The sequence below is a fragment of the Homo sapiens genome, chromosome 1 (assembly GCF_000001405.40).
Source record: "Homo sapiens chromosome 1, GRCh38.p14 Primary Assembly".
Taxonomy (NCBI): domain Eukaryota; kingdom Metazoa; phylum Chordata; class Mammalia; order Primates; family Hominidae; genus Homo; species Homo sapiens.
The window spans coordinates 12,019,235-12,039,707 of NC_000001.11; the positions used below are offsets into that span (position 1 = coordinate 12,019,235).

At 54.2% G+C, this 20,473-nt stretch overlaps 1 protein-coding gene, 1 non-coding gene and 1 pseudogene across 5 annotated transcripts, besides 6 other annotated features; 2 read left to right on the plus strand and 1 right to left on the minus strand.

Moving 5' to 3' along the window:
• Positions 51 to 921: an enhancer, noted in NCBI's record as "H3K27ac hESC enhancer chr1:12079342-12080212 (GRCh37/hg19 assembly coordinates)". NCBI's record gives its function as "activates a minimal SCP1, AML or CMV promoter by ChIP-STARR-seq in primed H9 embryonic stem cells {active_cell/tissue: H9 hESC(primed)}" and the evidence as "EXISTENCE:reporter gene assay evidence [ECO:0000049][PMID:30033119]".
• Positions 94 to 173: an enhancer, noted in NCBI's record as "active region_187". NCBI's record gives its function as "activates an Ori minimal core promoter by ATAC-STARR-seq in GM12878 lymphoblastoid cells {active_cell/tissue: GM12878}" and the evidence as "EXISTENCE:reporter gene assay evidence [ECO:0000049][PMID:35858748]".
• On the plus strand, positions 264 to 12,811 carry MIIP (migration and invasion inhibitory protein). Of its 4 annotated transcripts, none has more exons than XM_011541895.2 (10): positions 264 to 740; positions 2,411 to 2,606; positions 2,861 to 3,208; positions 3,599 to 3,683; positions 9,799 to 9,907; positions 9,989 to 10,047; positions 10,531 to 10,660; positions 10,794 to 10,890; positions 12,032 to 12,169; positions 12,488 to 12,811. In XM_011541895.2, the coding sequence occupies exons 2-10, from the start codon at positions 2,493 to 2,495 to the stop codon at positions 12,572 to 12,574; spliced, it is 1,167 nt and encodes a 388-aa protein (XP_011540197.1). In that variant the 5' UTR covers positions 264 to 740; positions 2,411 to 2,492; the 3' UTR covers positions 12,575 to 12,811. The 4 variants fall into 4 exon arrangements, with proteins under 4 accessions (XP_011540197.1, XP_011540198.1, XP_005263544.1 ...); XM_011541896.2 differs by having other exon boundaries at positions 264 to 419; XM_005263487.5 differs by having other exon boundaries at positions 264 to 318; positions 12,307 to 12,811.
• Positions 922 to 1,792: an enhancer, noted in NCBI's record as "H3K27ac-H3K4me1 hESC enhancer chr1:12080213-12081083 (GRCh37/hg19 assembly coordinates)". NCBI's record gives its function as "activates a minimal SCP1, AML or CMV promoter by ChIP-STARR-seq in primed H9 embryonic stem cells {active_cell/tissue: H9 hESC(primed)}" and the evidence as "EXISTENCE:reporter gene assay evidence [ECO:0000049][PMID:30033119]".
• Positions 9,924 to 9,988, plus strand: MIR6729 (microRNA 6729). The gene has a single exon (NR_106787.1). It is a non-coding gene; the product is annotated as a microRNA 6729 (primary transcript).
• RN7SL649P (RNA, 7SL, cytoplasmic 649, pseudogene) lies at positions 17,506 to 17,780 on the minus strand (annotated as a pseudogene).
• Positions 19,015 to 20,137: a transcriptional cis regulatory region, noted in NCBI's record as "candidate enhancer chr1.1957 targeted for multiplex CRISPR interference". NCBI's record gives its function as "positively regulates MIIP gene expression in K562 cells {active_cell/tissue: K562}" and the evidence as "EXISTENCE:mutant phenotype evidence [ECO:0000015][PMID:30612741]".
• Positions 19,015 to 20,419: a biological region, named in NCBI's record as "CRISPRi-validated cis-regulatory element chr1.1957". NCBI's record gives its function as "regulatory_interactions: MIIP".
• Positions 19,920 to 20,419: an enhancer, noted in NCBI's record as "H3K4me1 hESC enhancer chr1:12099211-12099710 (GRCh37/hg19 assembly coordinates)". NCBI's record gives its function as "activates a minimal SCP1, AML or CMV promoter by ChIP-STARR-seq in primed H9 embryonic stem cells {active_cell/tissue: H9 hESC(primed)}" and the evidence as "EXISTENCE:reporter gene assay evidence [ECO:0000049][PMID:30033119]".

Sequence of the window (20,473 nt, forward strand, 5' to 3'; positions counted from 1 at the left end):
CAGCCTGACTGAAACTGCCGCTGCTGAACTCAGCGTATCCAGTCCCGCAGCTGACCAATCGGAGCTCGCCCTTCCGGGGCCCGCCCCATTCCAGGAATCGACCTCCGCACCGGCCTCGAAAATTGACCAATCGGTTGTGTAGCTCCGCTCTTAGTCCCGCCCCCACGCTGAAACTGACACTTCGGATCGCCGAGTAACGCTCACCAGACGTCCCGGCCCTGCCCCTCACCTGACCAATCAAGACGGCCGGCCGAGGCCCCTGGAACGGCTCAGGCGGCTGCGGCTGCTACGGCGGCGCATGCTAGGGGATTCTGCCGGGTGAGTGCTGGGCGGCAGGACTGGGGTGGGGCGGAAGGGCTCGGCAGGAGGCCCCACGTGCATTCCCGCGAGGGGCTCGGGGGCCGCAGTGGAAAAGAAGGGTAGGCTGCATCTGCCTCTGCGGGGGTCCCGCCTCGGCGTCCGCCCGCTCGCCCTCTGTTACTTCTGCGGCCCCGGTGTTTCTGGAGCGTCGCTTTCCCGGTGTCTCCGCTCAGCTTTTCCCTTTCCAAAGCGCGGCCGGGGCCAGGGGAGGGCAAGGCCTGCTGTGCCCTTTGACCCCGTGCGAAAACGGCGACCCTCTGACTATAGGGGTGTGGCCCAGAGCCACTTGGCCAGTTAGGGGTGGGGGCCGGGATCTTTGTCCTGCGGATCAAACAGTTGGCCCCTCTGGACTGCATCTCCGTGCCCCCCGGCCCTGCGGGGTAATATACGTGTGTGGGGGAGGTTCCGGGGTAGTCGGCTACTCTGTGCTCCAGACCTTGCACCCGATCCTGAGGATCCTTGGAGGTGGGGGGCAAGGGCTGGGAGGAGGAGGCGGAGTTTTCCCAGGCTCCCCCACACTTCCAGGGAAAGGCTTTCCAAGAACCCTGAACTCATGGACCCTGGAGTCAAATTTTGGTTCAGATCTAGCCTCTTGCTAGCTGTGTGACTTGGGGCAAGTTGCTTAACTTCCCTGAGCTTTGGTTTCTTCATATGTAAAAAGAAAGTGAAGGAGGAAGGGAGGGCAGGAAAGGAGGAAGAATCCCTTTTGAAGCCTGATTTGTGTTGGACTCACCAGTTATAAAGCAAGCTTGTCCAAACCACTGCCCAGGAGGCGGAGGTTGCAGTGAGCCAAGAAAAAAAGGAAGCATGCCCTTGCCCCAGCCATTTTGGTAATAATAGACGTTTATTGAATGCTTACTGTATACCACTGTAAGCACTGTATTAAGTAAGCACTGTACTGAGTGCTTTGTTTTTTGTATTTTGTGTGTGTGTGTGACAGTCTTGCTCTGTCACCCAGGCTGGAGTGCAGTAGTGTGATCTCCACTCACTACAACCTCCGCCTCCCAGGTTCAAGCGATTCTCCTGCCTCAGCAGCCTCCTGAGTAGCTGGGATTACTGGCGCCCACCACCACACCCGGCTAATTGTTTGTTGTTGTTGCTGTTTTTGAGACGGAGTCTCACCCTGTCGCCCAGGCTGGAGCGCAATGGTGCGATCTCGGCTCACCGCAACCTCTGCCTCCCGGGTTCAGGTGATTCTCCTGCCTCAGCCTCCCGAGTAGCTGGGATTACAGGCGCGTGCCACCACGCCCGGCTAATTTTTGCATTTTTAGTAGCGACGAGGTCTCTCGCCACGTTGGCTAGGCTCATCTCAAACTCCTGACCTCAGGTGATCCTCCTGCCTCAGCCTCCCAAAGTGCTGGGATTACAGACGTGAGCCACTTGGCCTGTTTTTTGTTTTTTTTACAGTGATGCAACCATGGCTCACTGCAGCCTGGGTCTCCTGGGCTAAAGCTATCCTCCTGAGTAGCTGGGGCCACAGACAAGTGCCACCATGGCCAGCTAATTAAATTTTTTTTTGGCCAGGCACTGTAGCTCATGCCTGTAATCCCAGCACTTTGGGAGACCGAGGCAGGCGGATCACAAGGTCATGAGATCGAGACCATCCTGGCTAACACGGTGAAACCCCGTCTCTACTAAAAATACAAAAAATTAGCTGGGCGTGGTGGCAGGCGCCTGTAGTCCCAGCTACTCAGGAGGCTGAGGCAGGAGAATGGCGTGAACCCGGGAGGCGGAGCTTGCAGTGAGCCGAGATTGCGCCACTGCACTCCAGCCTGGGCGACAGAGCAAGACTCCATCTCAAAAAAAAAAAACAAAAAAACAAAACAAAAAAAAATGTTTCTACAAATGTTGTCCAGGCTTAACATGCTTTCTTTAATTCTAACAACAATCGTATGAGGTAGATACTGTTGTCGTCCAGCAGATGAGGAAACTGAGGCACAGAGAAGTTAAATAACTTGCCTGAGGCAGTACAGTTAAAGAGTGTCGAATGGGGGTCTCTGGCACCACAGGGCACCCTACTGAGCCCCGTGTCCTGCTGTCTTGACTTCAGGTAGAAGAGCTGGGCCTGGAACCCAGCCCTGAGGACATCCTGCGGCCCAGGGGCAAGTGACACCTGCTGAGAGAGGCCCAGGATGGTGGAGGCTGAGGAACTGGCACAGCTGCGGCTGCTCAATCTGGAGCTCCTGAGGCAGCTGTGGGTGGGGCAGGATGCTGTGCGGCGGTCAGTGGCCAGGGCAGCCTCGGAGGTGCGTGCCCGCCTTGGGAACCCCAGAGGAAGGGGCTACCTGACCTTCAGGCCAGCATCCAGGCTTCTGGGCTCATCTTGTTCAATACACCCATTTTACTGATGATGGGACATTGAGGGCTGGGGAGGGAAGAGACTGGCCTTGGTCACTGCTGAGGCCGGAGCAGGATGAGGATGCTTGCCTTGGTGCCTGGCGTAGGCCCGGTGGGTAGGTTCTGGCAGCCACTCCCTGGGTGACCCGGCCCCTCTCTCCAGTCAAGCCTGGAATCCAGCAGCAGCTACAACTCAGAGACTCCATCGACCCCAGAGACGTCCTCAACTTCCTTGAGCACCTCCTGCCCACGGGGCCGGTCCTCCGTGTGGGGCCCACCAGATGCCTGTCGAGGGGACCTCCGTGATGTGGCCAGATCGGGGGTGGCCTCTCTCCCACCTGCCAAATGCCAGCACCAGGAGTCCCTGGGCCGACCGAGACCCCACTCAGCACCCTCGCTGGGCACCTCAAGCCTGAGGGACCCAGAGCCCTCAGGGAGGCTGGGTGATCCAGGACCCCAGGAGGCACAGACCCCGAGGTCCATCCTGGCTCAACAGAGCAAGCTGTCCAAGGTAACGTGGGAGAGCGGGACATCTGCTGATGGGAGGAGCTTCCTTGGGCCTCAGTTTCCCTATCTGACACATGTGCTTGTGGGTAGCCTCCCTTGCAGAATAAGAGGCTCCTGGGAGATACTGTGAGTTGGGTCTTGCTCAGCCTAAATGCTCGCTAGGTGGTAGCTGTGAGTATCTCATACAGTGCTTTGAGAAGAGGCCAGGATTTGTTCACAGCCACACATAAAGTGGGGCCAAACGTTTCCCTTCTTGCTCTTGTGCCCTTGGCTGAGCCCTGGGCTGCAAGTCAGGGTGTAAGTTAAGACACAGTCTCTCTGTCCCTCGAATTGCGGCTTCCTCTGGGCCAGGCCTCTTGGCTTAGTCCTTGTCCCTCTGTGCTTCCTTCCTCAGCCCAGGGTGACCTTCTCTGAGGAGTCTGCAGTTCCTAAGAGGAGCTGGCGCCTCAGGCCATACCTGGGCTATGACTGGATTGCAGGTAAGGCGTGCTGTTGCCCTGCACACACTTTGCCTGGGAGTGGGAGGTGGAGGCCTGGGATCCTCCATGCTCCTGTCTGAGCCTCCACCCGGTGCTGTTGCTTGTTTCTCTGACCGTGCCATCCTCCGTGGGGAGCACCCTCTTTTTTTTTTTTTTTTTTTTTTGAGACGGAGTCTCACTCTGTCCCCCAGGCTGGAGTGCAGTAGTGTGATGTTGGCTCACAGCAACCTCCACCTCCCAGGTTCAAGTGATTCTCATCCCTTGGCCTCCCGAGTAGCTGGGATTACAGGCGAGCACCACCACGCCCGGCTAATTTTTGTATTTTAAGTAGAGATGGGGTTTCCCTGTATTGGCCAGGCTGGTCTCAAGCTACTGAGCTCAAGATATCCACCTACCTTGGTCTCCCAAAGTGCTAGGATTACGGGAGTGAGCCACCGCCCCCCACAGCCACCTTCTTTGTTTTCTTATTTATTTATTTATTTATTTATTTATTTATTTATTTTTGAGATAGTCTCTCGCTCTGTCGCCCAGGCTGGAGTGAAGTGGCGCAATCTCGGCTCACTGCAAGCCCCGCCTCCCAGGTTCATACCATTCTCCTGCCTCAGCCTCCCGAGTAGCTGGGACTACAGGTGCCTGCCACCACGCCTGGCTAATTTGTTTGTATTTTTGTTTTTTTTAGTAGAGACGGGATTTCACCGTGTTAGCTCGCCTCAGCCTTCCAAAGTGCTGGGATTACAGGCATGAGCCACCATGCCCGGCTTTTTTTTTTTTTTTCTTTGCTTTTTAAGAGAAGACAGGCCGGGCACGGTGACTCACACCTGTAATCCCAGCACTTTGGGAGGATGAGGTGGGCGGATCACGAGGTCAGGAGTTTGAGACCAGCTTGACCAACATGGTGAAACCCCGTATCTACTAAAAATACAATAATTAGCCGGGTGTGGTGGCACGGGCTTATAATCCCAGCTACTTGGGAGGCTGAGGCAAGAGAATTGCTTGAACCCGGGAGGCGGAGGTTGCAGTGAGCCGATATTGCACCACTGCACTCCAGCCTGGGTGACAGAGTGAGACTCCGTCTCCAAAAAATAAGCAAGCAAAAAAAACCAGATGAGCAGCAGTGAGAAGAAGGGGGAAAGAGTAGAACAAAGAGTTTGGTCTGTCACTGACTGTGAGTATACAATTGCGATAACTCACTACCTTCACGCCAGCCTCTGAGCACCTTCTGAGCCGTATCTGCTCTCTCAACCTCAGGCACTGAGACGGTGCATCTGTTGAATGAATGAATGAGTCCCAGCTGCCGTATGTTTGAACATTTGTTATGTGCCAGGCCCCTGCACAACTTCATACCAATGCCAGCTCTTTTCACGTTATTGTCCAGCTCTCCCCGACAGCAACCTAACCTCAGCTGCCTTCTGGCTGGTTTCCCCCTGGCCTATGTCCCATTGCTGTCCTTTGCATGTGTATGTGTGTTTGTGTAAATACATAACATAAAATTTACCACTTTAGCATTTTTTTTGAGATGAAGTCTCACTCTTGTCATCCAGGCTAGAGTGCAATGGCGTGATCTCCGCTCACTGCAACCTCCGCCTCCTGGGTTCAAGCGATTCACCTGCCTCAGCGTCCCGAGTAGCTGGGATTACAGGTGCCTGCCACCACACCCGGCTAATTTTTGTATTTTTAGTAGAGAAGGGGTTTCACCATGTTGGCCAGGCTGGTCTGGAACTGACCTCAGGCGATCCGCCCGCCTCAGCCTCCCAAAGTGCTGGGATTACAGGCGTGAGCCACTGCTCCCAGCCACATGTAGCGTTTTTTAAGTGGACTGTTAAGCGGCGTCAACTATGTCTACACTGTTGAGCTATCATTACTACCATCCACCTCCAGAACTTTTTCATCTTCCCAAAAACTTCTCTCCCCATTAAATAATTACTCCCATTCCCCCTCCCTCCAGCCCTGGACAGTCACCATTCTACTTTCTGTCCCTATGAATTTGACTCCTCTAGGGACCTCATATAAGTGAAATCATATAGCCTTTGTTCTTTTGTACTGGCTTATTTTATTTAACATAACGGCCTCAAGATTTATTCATGTTGTACTGTGTGTCAGAATTCCCTTCCTTTTTTTTTTTGTTTTTTGTTTTTTGTTGTTGTTTTTTTTGTTTGTTTTGAGAGAGAGTCGCACTGTGTCTCCCAGGCTGGAGTGCAGTGGTGTGATCTCGGCTCACTGCAACCTTCACCTCCCGGGTTCGAGTGGTTCTTGTGCCTCAGCCTCCCGAGTAGCAGGTATTACAGGTGTGCGCCACCACACCCAGCTAATTTTTGCATTTTTAGTAGAGATGGGGTTTCACTGTGTTGGCCAGGCTGGTCTCGAACTCCTGCACTCAAGTGATTCTCCTGCCTCGGCCTCCCAAAGTGCTGGGATTACAGGTGTGAGCCGCTGTGCCTGGCTGGAATTCCCTTCCTTTTTAAGGCTGAGTGACATTCTGTTGTGTGTAGATGCCACATGTTGTTTATCTGTTCATTCAGGGATGGACACTTGGGTGCTTTCCATCTCTTGACTGTTGGGAATAATGCTGCTGGTGACATGGTTGTGCACTGTCACTTTTGACATAGCAGCCAGAGGGAATTTTTAAACATGGGAATCAGATCATGTCACTCCCCTACTCAAACCTCCCCATGGGCTTTTCCCAGCACTTACTGTAAAATCCAAAATCCCTATCTAGACTTACGAGGCATGATCTGGCCTCTACTGGCCCCATGATGTGACCTCCCGTCTTTCTTCCAGCCTCGCGGCCTCCTCCTTTTTTATTTTTATTTGTTTTCTCTGTTGCCCAGAGTCAAGTCCAGTGGTGTTATTTCTGCTCATTGCAACCTCCGCTTCCTTGGTTCAAGCAATTCTTCCTCAGCCTCCCAGGTAGCTGGGATTACAGACGTCCACTACCATGCTTGGCTTATTTTTGTATTTTTAGTAGAGACGGGGTTTCACCATGTTGGCCAGGCTGGTCTCGAACTCCTGACCTCAGGTGATCTGCCCGCCTTGGCCTCCCAAAGTGCTGGGATTACACACATAATGGGGTGGCCACAGGCATGGCAGGACCAGAAAGGAGGCCACGACCAGGCATGGTGGCTCACGCCTGTAATCCCAGCAATTTGGGAGGCCGAGGTGGGCGAATCACTTGAGGTCAGGAGTTCGAGACCAGCCTGAGCATCGTGGTGAAACTCTGTCTCTACTAAAAATACAAAAATTAGCCAGGTGTGGTGGCGGGCACCTATAATCCCAGCTACTCAGGACGCTGAGGCAGGAGAATCATTTGAATCCAGGAAGTGGAGGCTGCAGTGAGCAGAGATCAAGCCACTGCACTCTAACCCGGGCGACAAAGTGAGATTCTGTCTCAAAAAACAAAGACAGGTGTACTGTGGAGTTGCTGAGAGCAACTGGTGGCGGGGACACAGGCCCTGCCCTTGAGTACTTCTTGAACTCTCAGCTCACTGCCCTCCTTCCTGGTTCTGGGAAAATGGAAGCGCCTGTCCCAGTACCTGCTCTTGGTCCATGCGCTCTGCTCCCCTGCCTTTGCCGAGGTGACTGTCCATGCTGCCACCTGGACCCTGGCCCTGCTCCAGCGTGCTCCGCCCCTCTGCTTCTGGCTCCTCCAGGGTTTCCTTCCTGTGATCCTCTCCCTCTCTGTCCTGCATCCTCATCCTGCCCCTTAGCATGAGCATGAACGTGCAGGAAGCATTCTGGGAGCTGGTTGTATCTCATGCTCCCTGCACCAGGCACCGCTCCGAGCTGTGCTTCCTGTTCCTCCCGCTGACTCCTTTGCCCTTCATGATAAGCTTATTAGGTAGGCACCACCATGGTGCCCATTCACAGATGGGAAGGCTGAGGCCCGGTGAGACAGAATCTTACCAGCAGCTCACATCCAGTCGGGGTAAAGCCGCTGTCTGTTATTTCTCATCCCGATGCCACATTCCTACCTTTAGCCCACATTTGCTTCCAGTGACTGCCTGTTTTCTCGATAACAAAACTTCCTCTTCAAAAGGGCTGTCTAGCCTCGTTGCCTTCAATTTCTCTCCACTACTATTCCTTTTCTTTTTCTTTTTTTTTTTTTTTTTGAGATGGAGTCTCGTTCTTTCACCCAGGCTGGAGTGCAGTGGAGCAGTGATCTCAGCTCACTGCAACCTCCGCCTCCCAGGTTCAAGTGATTCTCCTGTCTCAGCCACCTAAGTAGCTGGGATTACAGGCATGCACCACTACACTCAGCTCATTTTTGTATTTTTAGCCAGAGACAGGGTTTCGCCATCTTGGCCAGTCTGGTCTGGAACTCCCGATGTCAAGTGATCTGCCCGCCTTGGCCTCCCAAAGTGCTGGGATTATAGGCATGAGCCACTGTGTCCAGCCTCCACTACTATTTCTTAAATCGGGCTTCAGCTCCCAGCATTTCATCAACATGGCCCTCAGTTGGGTCATCAGTGGCCTCCGTGGTGCCAACTCCCCAGCTTAGCCCTCATCCACATCTTCCTTTGAGTAGCAGGGGACACAGTGGTCACTCCTGAAGCACTTTCTCCCCTGGACTTCCAGCCACTTGCTTCCCGGTTCTCCCCCATCTCTGTTGGTGCTCCTTCCCAGGCTTCTGGGGAAGGAAAGGTCCTTGTTCTGACTGCTACACCCCTAGGCCTGGGACTCGGTCTTCTGACTCCTCCTCTCTATCTTCCCTCTATGATCTCCCAAACGCTGAGGTGTTTGGACACTTTCTCTACTTCTCCATTTGTATCTCTAGCCCGCACCTCTCCTCCGAATTCCAGACTTGTATATCCCACTGTCTTCTCCACATCACCATGAAGTTATTAACCTTCTGTCCGAAATCAAGGTCCTGATTTCCACTGCTGTGCTCCTCCTGCAGTCTTTCCTGTCTCCATAAATGGCAACTCCAAATACTAAATAGGTCAGGCCATAAACTTGCTGGATTTACCATCCAGCTACATCCTGATACACCCAACATAAGTTGAAAATACTGTTTAGGCCGGGTGCGGTGGCTCACGCCTGTAATCCCAGCACTTTGGGAGGCCGAGGCAGGTGGATCAGGCCAGGAGTTTGAGAACAGCCTGGCCAAGATGGTGAAACCCCGTCTCTACTAAAAATACAAAAATTAGCTGGGTGTGGTGGCGCACGCCTGTAATTCCAGCTCTGTAGGTGGCTGAGACATGAGAATCGCTTGAACCTGGGAGGCAGAGGTTGCAGTGAGCCGAGGTCGCTCCACTGCACTGCACCCTGGGCAACACGGTGAGATTCTGTCTCAAAAAATAAAAAAAGAAACATCCTAAGTCGAATCATGGTAAGTTGGGGGCTGCCCCTACCTCTCCCCAGCTGAATCCTAACCGATGCCTCTGCTTCCCCTCAACTTGAAGCAGCCAGAGGAGGAGTTCTGTAAAAATATGTGGCTGATGTGGTTGTGTCCCTCCCATTCCCCAGACCCTCCCTGGGCTTCTTAACCTCATCTCCTCCACCCTCGCTGCCTTCCTGCCACTTTCCCCTCCTGGCTGTTCCTCAGCTGAACCATGCACATGCCCACCCCGGGGCCTTTGCGCTTGCTCTTTCATCTCCCTGCGATGTCCTTCCTGGGAGGTCTCTGTGGCTTCTCCATGTCTCTGCTCAGGGTCATCTCACTCGGAGAGGCCTTCCCTGGTATGGCTGCCCGGCCATACTAGGCTCTGACGCTGCTCTCTTGCTTTCTGGCAGGTATCAGCATTCAGTCTTGTATCACGGGTTTTTTTTTTTTTGGTGGCTAGTTCATCTCTTGCCACCTTACAGTGTAAGCCTCATTAAGGCCAGGGGCTTTGTCTGTCTAGTTCCTGGCACATGAAACAGCATCTAGCCCTGTCATAAGGGCTCTGTCGATATTTTTTCCATGGATGGTTGGCTATGCATCAGGGTAGACAGACACTGAAACCAACCAACAGTCCCAGTGACTGGAGGGGCCCTCCTGGCCTGTTTGAGGCACAGTAGGGATGAAGCAGGTGGCCTGGGGTGCCAGGGCTGATCGTCTCTCCAAGCCTTGGCCGGTGGCCACACAGCAGCCCCCAGCCCCTCTCCCGTCAGCTGCCTGGTGCTTTGCCCACACCAGGGTCTCTGGACACCAGCTCTTCCATCACCAGCCAGCCTGAGGCCTTCTTCTCCAAGCTGCAGGAGTTTCGGGAAACCAACAAGGAGGAGTGTATCTGCAGCCATCCTGAGTGAGCAGGGGCGGGCGAGGGTGGGCGAGGGCGGCTGAGCGGCTCCATCCCCCGGCCTGCTCATCCCCCTCGCCCTCTCAGACCCCAGTTGCCAGGCCTGCGTGAGAGCAGTGGCAGCGGCGTGGAGGAAGACCATGAATGTGAGTGCGGGCCCTCGGCTAGGCCGCTGAGTAGTCCAGCCTCGCGCTGCCCTGGCCTCCCCTGCCCCAGAGCAGTCCCATTTGAGGTTTGGGGCCTGGGGAGGCCCCTGAGATGTTGAGACTCATGGAGGGAGGCCTGCAGTCTGGACAGGGTGGCCAAGCCCTGGTAGGGGTGGAGTGAGCTAAGGCCTGGCCACCGAATTAGGGGCTGCCCTGTGTGGCACCATCCCACCCTCCCCAGCAGTGCCCCTGTGCTGGTGGGACTCCATCCCAGCTCCTGAGGGCCCCAGGAGGATGTCCCTCCCCACCCCTTAGGGCGTGGGCCCCAGGTTCTGGGAGGAAAGGGGTTAGGAGGAAATGGGCCGAAGGGCTTCCCAGAGGGATTGGCAGCTTGTGTGGTTGGGGGCCGCTGAGGGCAGCACGGAGCCTGGGGACCTGGGTTCCTGGCTCAGGGAGAGCTGTGGCTTCTCATGGGCCTCGCAGGCGTGTACTGTTACCGTGTCAACCGGCGCCTGTTCCCGGTGCCTGTGGATCCCGGTACCCCCTGCCGCCTGTGCAGGACACCGCGAGACCAGCAGGGCCCTGGGACCCTGGCGCAGCCAGCGCACGTCAGGTGAGTGACCAGAGTATTGGGACACCTTGGGGGACAGAGCCTGAACCACTGGTTTTAAGAAAAGATGGGCCTGGGCGTGGGCCCCCAACCGCTGGGAGGCTCCTCAGGGGTCCCCCACTGCCCCCCTGCGCAGGGTGAGCATCCCGCTGTCGATCCTGGAGCCCCCGCACCGGTACCACATCCACCGGCGAAAGAGCTTTGACGCCTCTGACACACTGGCCCTGCCCCGGGTGAGCAGCCACGTGGGGCTGGATGGTGATGAGGGCGGGGCTGGCTCAGACTGGCCCAGATCCCCAGGGAGGGTCACAGAGCGAGACTGGGCTCGACAAGGGTGAGCGCCCAAGTCTCTGGAGCACAGCCTGGGCCTCTTCCATCACCCACACCTGTACCTAAGGGAGGTAGGACCCCCGCTCCACGTACCCCGGTGCTTCCAGGGTGATCTGCCTGCAGGCTGGCATGACATGAATGGGTCCTGTTTATTGCGCTTTTGTGTACTGCAGGCACAGTCCTTAGGGGGCTTATCTCATGGAGCCCCCACAGCAGCCAGGAGTGTAGGCACTGCTGTACCCCCACCCTGCAGGTGGGGAGACCGAAGCAGAGGGGGAGGCGCCTTGGTGGAGGAGCTGGGATTCGAACCTAGGTCTCTGTGCTGCTGCTGCTGCTTTTTTTTTTTTTTTTTTTTTTTGAGACCGAGTTTTGTTCTTACTGCCCAGGCTGGAGTGCATTGGCATGGTCTCAGCTCACTGCAGCCTCCACTGTAGTCCCAGCTACTTGGGAGGCTGAGGTGGGAGGATCGCTTGAACCTGGGAGGCAGAGGCTGCAGTGAGCTGAGATCTCGCCACTGCACTGCAGCCTGGGTGACAGAGTGAGACTCCATCTCAAAAAAAAAAAAAATGTCCTTTCCTGTGTCTCCAGGTCGGGATGGGGTGCCAGTGGCAACTCCCCCTGACTCCTAAATTGAGAGTAGGGCAGCTGGGGTCAGAGGAGGAGAAGGATGCAGAGGAAAGTCAGTTTGCTGGTCCGTAAAATGGACATAACAGCGCCATCCTCAGGGATGTTGGTGGTGAGGTGGGGCTGTTGAGTGAAGCAATCCATGCAGGTGCTTGGAGAGCCTACAGCAGGAAGTACCCTGTGAATGTCACTGTCACCGTCCTATCCTCCTCCCATTTCAGCTCTCAGGGCCCCAGGGATGGCTGGATCTGCCAGGATAAGAAAGGGGAGAGCTGGGGTAGTCTTGTGGGTAGACACAGGCCCTGCCTTGGTGGGGGCCTCCTTCCTAATGGGGGGCACAGTTCCTCCCTGATGGGGGTGTGCCCAGTCAGCGGGGAGCTTGTCCCAGGTCAGGCACTTTTAACTCCTTGCCTTCCACAGCACTGCCTGCTGGGCTGGGACATTTTTCCTCCGAAGTCTGAGAAAAGCTCAGCCCCCAGGAACCTGGACCTCTGGTCCTCTGTCTCCGCTGAGGCCCAGCACCAGAAGCTGTCCGGCACCAGCAGCCCTTTTCACCCGGTACGGTCCAGATCGCATCCTAGCCTGGGGTGCCCCCTAGAGGGACAGAGACCTCGCAGCAGGCCTGGGGACTGCAGAGCCTCCTGGGGGGTAGGATTGAGGTGGGGAGGATGGAGCCTGGGAGTGTCTCTCTGCAGGGTCCAGCCCTCCAGCCCTGACCCTAGCCATCCCTCGGAACTCCTCTGCTCCCTGCCGCCTGCCCTGCTCCACCCAGGAAGGCCACCCTGACTGCAAGATCCAGGAGGGAATGTGGCTGGAACTGGGGATGACCTGTCCCTTTCAAGTGGCCCCCCTGAGACTTCCCTATTCCCCATCCAGGCCTCACCAATGCAGATGCTGCCCCCGACCCCGACCTGGTCAGTGCCCCAGGTCCCTCGGCCCCACGTCCCACGGCAGAAGCCCTGAGGACTGACTCCTGGGGGAGAACAGCATTCCCGCCGCCTCCAGCCTCTCCCCTCTGGCAGGCGCACCCAGGAGATGGAATCCCCTGCCCGCCCAGCTCAGGCCCAGCTGTCCTAGGTTGGGCAGGTGGGTGGACCCAAGCTTGTCTGCTGCCTGAGTTCCAGAGAGGGAGGACCCTGGGGTGGAGGGTGAGGGATTCTGTGGAAGTTTGTAAATAAAGCTCAGTGCTCTGCAGCTCAAGTCCCACGTGTGCTGGTTCCATCCTGCTAATGCACTTGAGGCCCAGAAGGCACTCTGGCCTCTCAGCCTGCCCTCCTGGCACCTGTGGAAGGAAGATACTGCAACCACTGGGACTAGGCAGTGTGTGTCCGTCACCATGAGGGTGGCTCCTTCCGCAGATCCCCAGCTCTGGGTAGTGGCCTCCACCAGATGGGGGAGGGGGGGCCCCTGGGCAGGCTGGGCCAAGGTTATTAAAAAGTCATTTTAGCGAGGGCCTCCGCTGAAGCCGTGAGTCGTGTTGAGTGACTGAGCTCTCTCCTTCCTGGTCCCAGAACCGGGATCCATTGATAGAAGGGCTCTCTGGAAGTCCCTGGGGTCACATGGCTCCTCCACCCAGCCATGGGAGCCGCAGGTCATTCAGAGCCCCAGCAGGGACAGATGAGGAAACAGGGCTGGGCGGTGAGTTGGAGGCAAGGTTAGCAGAGAGCCCAGATGTCCAGTCTGGGAGAGTAGGCAGTGCCCTGTCCTTCACTCACCTCTTGTATGTGTTGGTTGCATAATATGAAATTCTTGTTTTTGTAAGTGGAATAAATGCGGAAACGAGGCATGAACTTTCTCTAAGGTTTCTCGGCTTAGAGATGGAACTGGGCTATGCTGTCCTGGGGCTTTTTCCTGGAGTTTATGAAGCTATAAAAACCTTTCCCTCTCTCTGGAGAAACAAAGTCTGTTTGAGTCCCTGCTTTCCATTATTTTGGGTATACAGAAGTGGAATTGCAGGATCAGAAGGTGATTCTATGTTTTTTTATTTTTGAGACAGGATCTCACTTTGTCACTCAGGCTGGAGTGCAGTGGGGCCATCTCCGCCCACTGCAGCCTCGACCTCTTAAGCTCAAGTGATTGATTCTCTTGCCTTAGCCCCCTAGGTAGCTGGGACTATAGGCGCGTGCTACCACTCCTGGCTAATTTTTTTGTACTTTTTGTGGAGAAGGGGTTTCACTATGTTACTGAGGCTGGTCTTGAACTCCTGAGATCAAGGGATCTGCCACCTTAGCCTCCCAAAGTGCTGGGATTACAGGCGTGAGCTACCACCTCCGGCCAATAATTCTATTTTTAATTTTTCAAGGAAATGCTATACTGTTTTACTTTCCGACCAGTGATGCACAAGAGTTCCAATTTTTCCTCATCGTCAACAGCACTTGCTATTTTCTGGTTTTTCGGTAGTAGCCATCCTAATGGCTGTGAAGTGTATCTCATTGTGGTTTTTATTAGCATTTCCCTAAGGATTAGTGACGTTGAGCATGTTTTAATATGCTTATTGGTCATTTGTATATTTTAAAAATATTTATTAATAGTTTTTTTTTAACTTAAGTTCAGGAGTACATGTTTATTAGTTTATTTTTAATAGAGACAGGGTCTTGCTATGTTGTCCAGGCCTCAGGCTTTTCCTACCTGGGCCTCCCAAAATGCTGGGATTATAGGCACAAGCCACTGCACCCAGCCTGTTTGTATATCTTCTTTGGAGAAGTCAAGTCCTTTGTCCCATATTTCAGTTGGGCTTGGTTTGTTGTTCCACGTGTAATTTTGAGTCGGAGAACCTGTGGGAGTCAGTGGTTTCTTTAGAAATTCTTTGGCCACAGGGAGAAGATAATTCAAAGCCTTTCTGTCAAACAAAAGTTACAAAATCAGGCTGGGCTTGGTGGCTCACTCCTGTAATCCCAGCACTTTGGGAGGCCGAGGCAGGAGGATCACTTGAGGTCAGGAGTTTGTGACCAGCCTGGCCAACATGGCGAAACCCCGTCTCTACTAAAAATACAAAAATTAGCTGGGGATGGTGATGCACACCTGTAATCCCAGCTACTCGGGAGTCTGAGGCGGAAGAATGGCTTGAACCTGGGAGGCAGAGGTTGCAGTGAGCCGGATCATGCCACTGCACTCCAACCTGGGCGACAGTGATACTCTGTCTCGAAAAAGAAAAAAAAGTTACAAAATTTAGGCCAGGTGCCGTGACTGACCCATATAATCCCAGTACTTTGGGAGGCCAAGGCAGGCTGATCACTTGAGGTCAGGAGTTTGAGACCAGCCTGGCCAATATGGCAAAACCCCATCTCTAGTAAAAAATTTAAAAACTAGCCAGACATGGTGGCACATGCCTGTAATCCCAGCTACTTGGGAGGCAGAGGCATGAGAATCACTTGAACCCAGGAGGCGGAAGTTGCAGTGAGCCGAGATGGTGCCATTGCACTCCAGCTTGGGGTACAGAGCAAGACTCTGTCTCAAAAAAAAAAAAATTACAAAATTTACAAAGCTGAGATCAGCTTACAGATTTAGCCGTGTATAACAGAAGTCCAAAACAGCAACAGCCTAACCCAGAGAGAAATGCTTCTTTTCCATCACCGTACAGGCTGGAATGCTGCCACAGGGCCCATAATGCATCAGGGTGCATGGTTTCTCTGGAAAAACAGTTCTTTTGAAACTTTGGAAGACTTCCAGCTTGCTTGCTTCCAGTAAGTTCCATGCACAAGAACCACAGCCCAAAGTCTGTAGACACTGCGCTGAATGAAACCTGTGGCGCCATAGCCTGAAAGACCCTCTTTGTGTGGCGGCAAATAACTCCTGTCTTCCCACGTACTGACCTCTGCTCTGCCTGTTCCTGGCTATCTCTTCAGAAGGCAGCCTCCTTGGGGCCATCTGGAGCCATCAGCGGGGGTAGGAAGACCACAGCCTGAACCAGATCCTTCCTGCTGGTCGCTTGAGAACTCTTTTTCTTTTTAATTTTTGAGACAGGGTCTGTCGCTTAGGCTAGAGTACAGTGGTGCAATCTCGGCTCACTGCAACGTCCTTGCAAATTCAAGTGATTCTCATGCCTCAGCCTCCCGCGTAGCTGGGATTACAGGCGCCTGCCACCATGCCCGGCTAATTTTTGTATTTTTAATAGAGAAGGGGTTTCTCCATGTTGGCCAGGCTGGTCTCAAACTCCTGGCCTCAAGTAATCCACCTGCCTTGACTTCCCAAAGTGCTGGGATTACAGGCATGAGCCACTGCCCCTGGCCTCCGGAGAACGGCAGGGAGGTGCTTGAGAAAGCCCTGGGCCTGGGGCTGCCTCTCCAGTCACTTCTTAGGACTGATTTCAGCATGGGATACAGGCTTATTCAAGCTGAAGGGGCCCCAAGAATGAAGGTTCCAGGCAGGAGGCCCCTAGAGCAGAGCCCATGTCTTGCAGCTCTCCAGCACCCACACAGTTCCATTTCGTGAATGTCCCCACTACCCTCCCAGGTACTTGCAAGCTGTTCTTAATTCTCCTGGGCCTTTCACCCCTACAACTTGGGGTCACCCTGGATGCTCGTCTTGTCTCCCACCCTTGCCCCATCCATGTCTCAGCTTGGATGTCTCTTCTTTCAAGAGGTCCTCCCTGAACCTCTGGGTTCTCAGATCTGCCCCCGCCATCACACAGCCTGCCTTCCTGCTCTTCTCCAAGGCCCCTGAGTAGTAGTATTAAGTAACTAACGGTGAGATGCATTGCCTAAGCTCTCTCCCCTGCGAGAATTGCAGCTTCCTGAAAACAGAGATGGCATTGTTTTTCTTCATTGAAATAGTTTTGTATTGTACTTTTTCAAAAGTACTGGCTGAACTGTGTTCCAGAATTTGGCTTTTCCCTCTAGCCTGGTTTCTTACCTGCCTTGTGAAGGTTACTGGACAAATGCTTTCATTTCTCTGCATGAAAGGACCCTGGTGGTTGGGCACACTCCTGATACACCTTACATGCACCCCCTCTCCCATACTGATAGCATTCTTTTCTTTTTTTGTGCCTTCTGAGTATGTACTGTAAATCCCAAAGGAAAAAGGCAAGATCACCTACTTCTCCCAAAACTAGTGTCTTGTGTTGGTCATTTAGAAATAAGAACAAAGATCTGACTCCTCCATTGCCTGCACCACGGCTTAGAACCATGACCCTGGCCAGGCAGCGGCCTGAAGTTTGTCTTCTTGGACCTAACCATGCTGGAGACAGTCAGCTGAGGACGTGAGAAAAGGCAGAAGCTCAAATCCAGCCTGGGCAACATAGCAAGACCCCATCTCTCTTAAAAAAAAAAAAAAAAAAAAAAGGCCGGGCACAGTGGCTCATGCCTGTAATCCCAGCACTTTGGGAGGCCAAGGCGGGCGGATCATGAGGTCAGGAGATCGAGACCATCCTGGCTAATATGGTGAAACCCCGTCTCTAATAAAAAATACAAAAGAATTAGCCGGGCATGGTGGCGGGCACCTGTAGTCCCAGCTTCTCCGGAGGCTGTGGCAGGAGAATAGTGTGAACCCGGGAAGTGGAGCTTGCAGTGAGCCAAGATCGCGCCACTGCACTCCAGCCTGGGCGACAGAGCGAGACTCCGTCTCAGAAAAAGAAAAAAGAGGCTGGGCATGGTGGTTCACATCTGTAATCCCAGAACTTTGAGAGGCTGAGGCGGGTGGATCACTTGAGGTCAGGAGTTTGAGACCAGCCTGGCCAACATGGTGAAACCCTGTCTCTATGAAAAATACAAAAATTAGCTGGGCATATTGGCAAGCACCTATAATCCCAGCTACTCAGGAGGTTGAGCTATGAGAATCACTTGAACTTGGGAGGCGGAGGTTGCAGCAAGCTAAGATCGCGCTATTGCACTCCAGCCTGGGTGACAGAGTGAGACTCCGCCTCAAAAAATAAAAATAATTAAAATAAGAGCTTTTTTAGAGGCAGGTTCTTGCCCTTGCCCAGGCTGGAGCACAGTGGCTATTTACCCCACTGCTGATCAGCACTGGAGTTTTGACCTGCTCTATTTCCAACCTGAGCTGGTTTAACCCTCCTTAGGCAACCTGGTTTCAAGGAGGTCACCATATTGATGCTCAAGTTAGTGCAGACACCCCATCAGCATAGGGCACCAAAGCCCCGAACTGGGCACAAGTGATCCTCCCGCCTCAGCCTCCTGAATAGGTGAGACAACTGGCGAGCACCACCACACCTAACAAGGCAGGGAGATGGATTCCTCAATAGAAAGGTGTGGAGCTGGCCGGGTGCGCTGGCTCCCACCTGTAATTCCAGCACTTTGGGAGGCTGAGGTGGGCGGATCACGAGGTCATGAGATCGAGACCATCCTGGCCAACATGGTGAAACCTCGTCTCTACTAAAAATACAAAAATTAGCTGGGTGTGGTGGCGTGTGCCTGTAGTCCCAGCCATTCGGGAGGCTGAGGCAGGAGAATCGCTTGAACCTGGGGGGTGGAGCTTGCAGGGAGCCGAGATCGCACCACTGCACTCCAGCCTGGGCGACAGAGTGAGACTCTGTCTCAGAAAAAAAAAAAAGAAAAAAAAAATGTGTAGAGCTGATGAATGCTCTCCAACTGGAACCCAACTCCTTGATATGGTCTGTAATGCCTCCACCATTCCCCCACTCACTCATTCATTCACCAGCCACGTGTTCGACTCCTCCTGTGTGCTAGGCACTGTTCTAGGCTCTGCAGATGCGGCAGTGAAGCAGACAACACTAGCACCCACAGCCACAGGAGCCTGCCCCCTGGAGCTTCCCTGCTGCTGGGTGGGGGGGCTGCAGTCTGAAATAAGCCAGTAAACAGAAAATGTGTCAGGTGGTGGGAAGTGCTGGGAAGAAAACCAGAGCAGCCCGACCACGCTTCCCTGACCCACGTCTCACACCTCCCACACCCCTCCCAGGCGAGGCTCCAGCTCTGCTGAAGCTTTTTTCTGGGTCTTAAACCGGCAGGCTCCCCCTGGCCTCTGGGTCTTTATCTACTCCATTGCCTCTGCCCAAAGCTCTCTTCCACCCAATGAACTCCTACTCAGTCCTCAGCTTCTATTTCAATTCCTCAGAGCCCTTCCCTGAGCCGACCGAACTGGCCAAGGCTCCTGGAGTTGGGTTCTGCAGCATCCCCATTGTAGACTTTGTGACACTTGACTGTAAGCTCCTTGAGAGCAGGAACCAAGCCTGTCCTGTCCTTGGCGCTATCCCCAGGGCCTAGTACAGCATGCGGCATATGATAGACGTTCAATAAATAAATGTTGAATGAACGAGGGAGTAAATGAGCTCCCAGGTCTTGGGAAGGTAGACCTGGCAGCCCTGAGACCCGAGGTTCCTGTTTCCTGGGATTCTAGCACTGGGGCTGAGCTGCTGCTGTTCTAGCTTGCGCTGGTTTCTGCACATCTGTTGCCCTAGGCCTCAGGCAGATTGTGGGGTCTCGGCTCAGCACCAGTCTCCCAGGGGAGTCTAGGACCCTAGGGTGGATGGTAGGGAGCGGCTGGGGACAGCTGAAACATCTTCATCTGGGAAACTCTACGTCCGCCATCCATTGGCAGCTGCAGGGCCCAGTCCCTTGGCGTGCAGATGGAAGTGTATGGAAATAACCCCACCTTCCCTCCCTCAGGCCACTTTTAACCTCCCAGGCAAGACAAGGACCTGTTGGCTACTGATTGCCACCCTCTGAGAGGGAGGCTGCAAAGGGGAATTCTCCCTGGAGGGGTTGGGTGACCCTTCCACTCCCACTTCATCATGAGGTGAAGCGTGCATGGCCCAGAAACACACACACAGCTGGATTTCCCCCCTCTGCCTTTGGAAAGTGGCATTCAGATGTTCTGAGAATGCACACTGGCTCAATGTAGACTTGGCTGTAGGTTTGCTGAACTTTTCAGCCCAATCTGTGGGAGGACATAGAGTGTAGCTCCGAACACCCGCCCTCGGTATTGCCACCCACTGACTGCGTGACGGCGGCCGTGTCACTTAGCCTTTCTGTATGTAGCTCAGTTTTGTCATCTGTACACGGGCGATAACTCCAAGAAGAGGTGAACCAGATCCGACCTGCAGAGACCCGGGCACGTGGTCTGACGGGGAGGGGAGCTATGAGAAATGATAAGACTGTCATCAGCTCTTCCATCATAAGATTGATGCCATCCTGTTGCCTGGAATGGAACCTGCCCCCTGAGTTTGCTCCAGCTCATGCCTTCCCCAGGACGATAAGAGAGAATGGAAGCAGGGCATGGAGTCCTTTGATCCAGTGGCCTTCACCCCCAGCTCCTGGAAGGGCTGTTGCTGGGAGCAGATGCCGGCAGCAGCCTTCTTGCCAGTTTCATTAGCATGGAGGCTCTGAGGACAGGGAGGGAGGAGGGATGTGGGTGGGCAGGACCCTCCCTGGGGCCAGTGCTGAGGCTGTGAGGGTGGATGGCTGAAGCCTTGCAGGAAGTTTTGAGAGGAAGCTGGGCCCACAGGATCGTGATGTGATCAGTTGGGGTGGCATAAGAGTGCCTGATGATGGTTTGGGTGGCCTTTGGGGACATCCCCTGTCATGCCATCACCATGCTGAGCTCTGACCACACTCTCTTTGGCCCTCTTTATCTGTGGCTAAGAGTTGGCAACACAGCCTCTGAAACTCAGCAGAAACCCCTCTGCTTCCCCCAGCCCTGCCTCCTCTATCCCCCACCATTGTTGATGGGATACCAGAGGCACCCAGGTGTCCTGGGCCTCCAGCTCCCGAGGCAAGGAAGCCTTTCTTGGCCAGCCAGGACTCATGACATCTCAGCCAGTGGAGAAGGGGAGAGGGAGGGCTTTGAGAATTCCCCAGGCCTCAGATTTGGTGGGGGAACCCTTCCTGTCCACCAGGATTGAGGGTTACAGAACACCCCAGCCTCGAGGGAGAACTAGCTGCCCCCCATCCC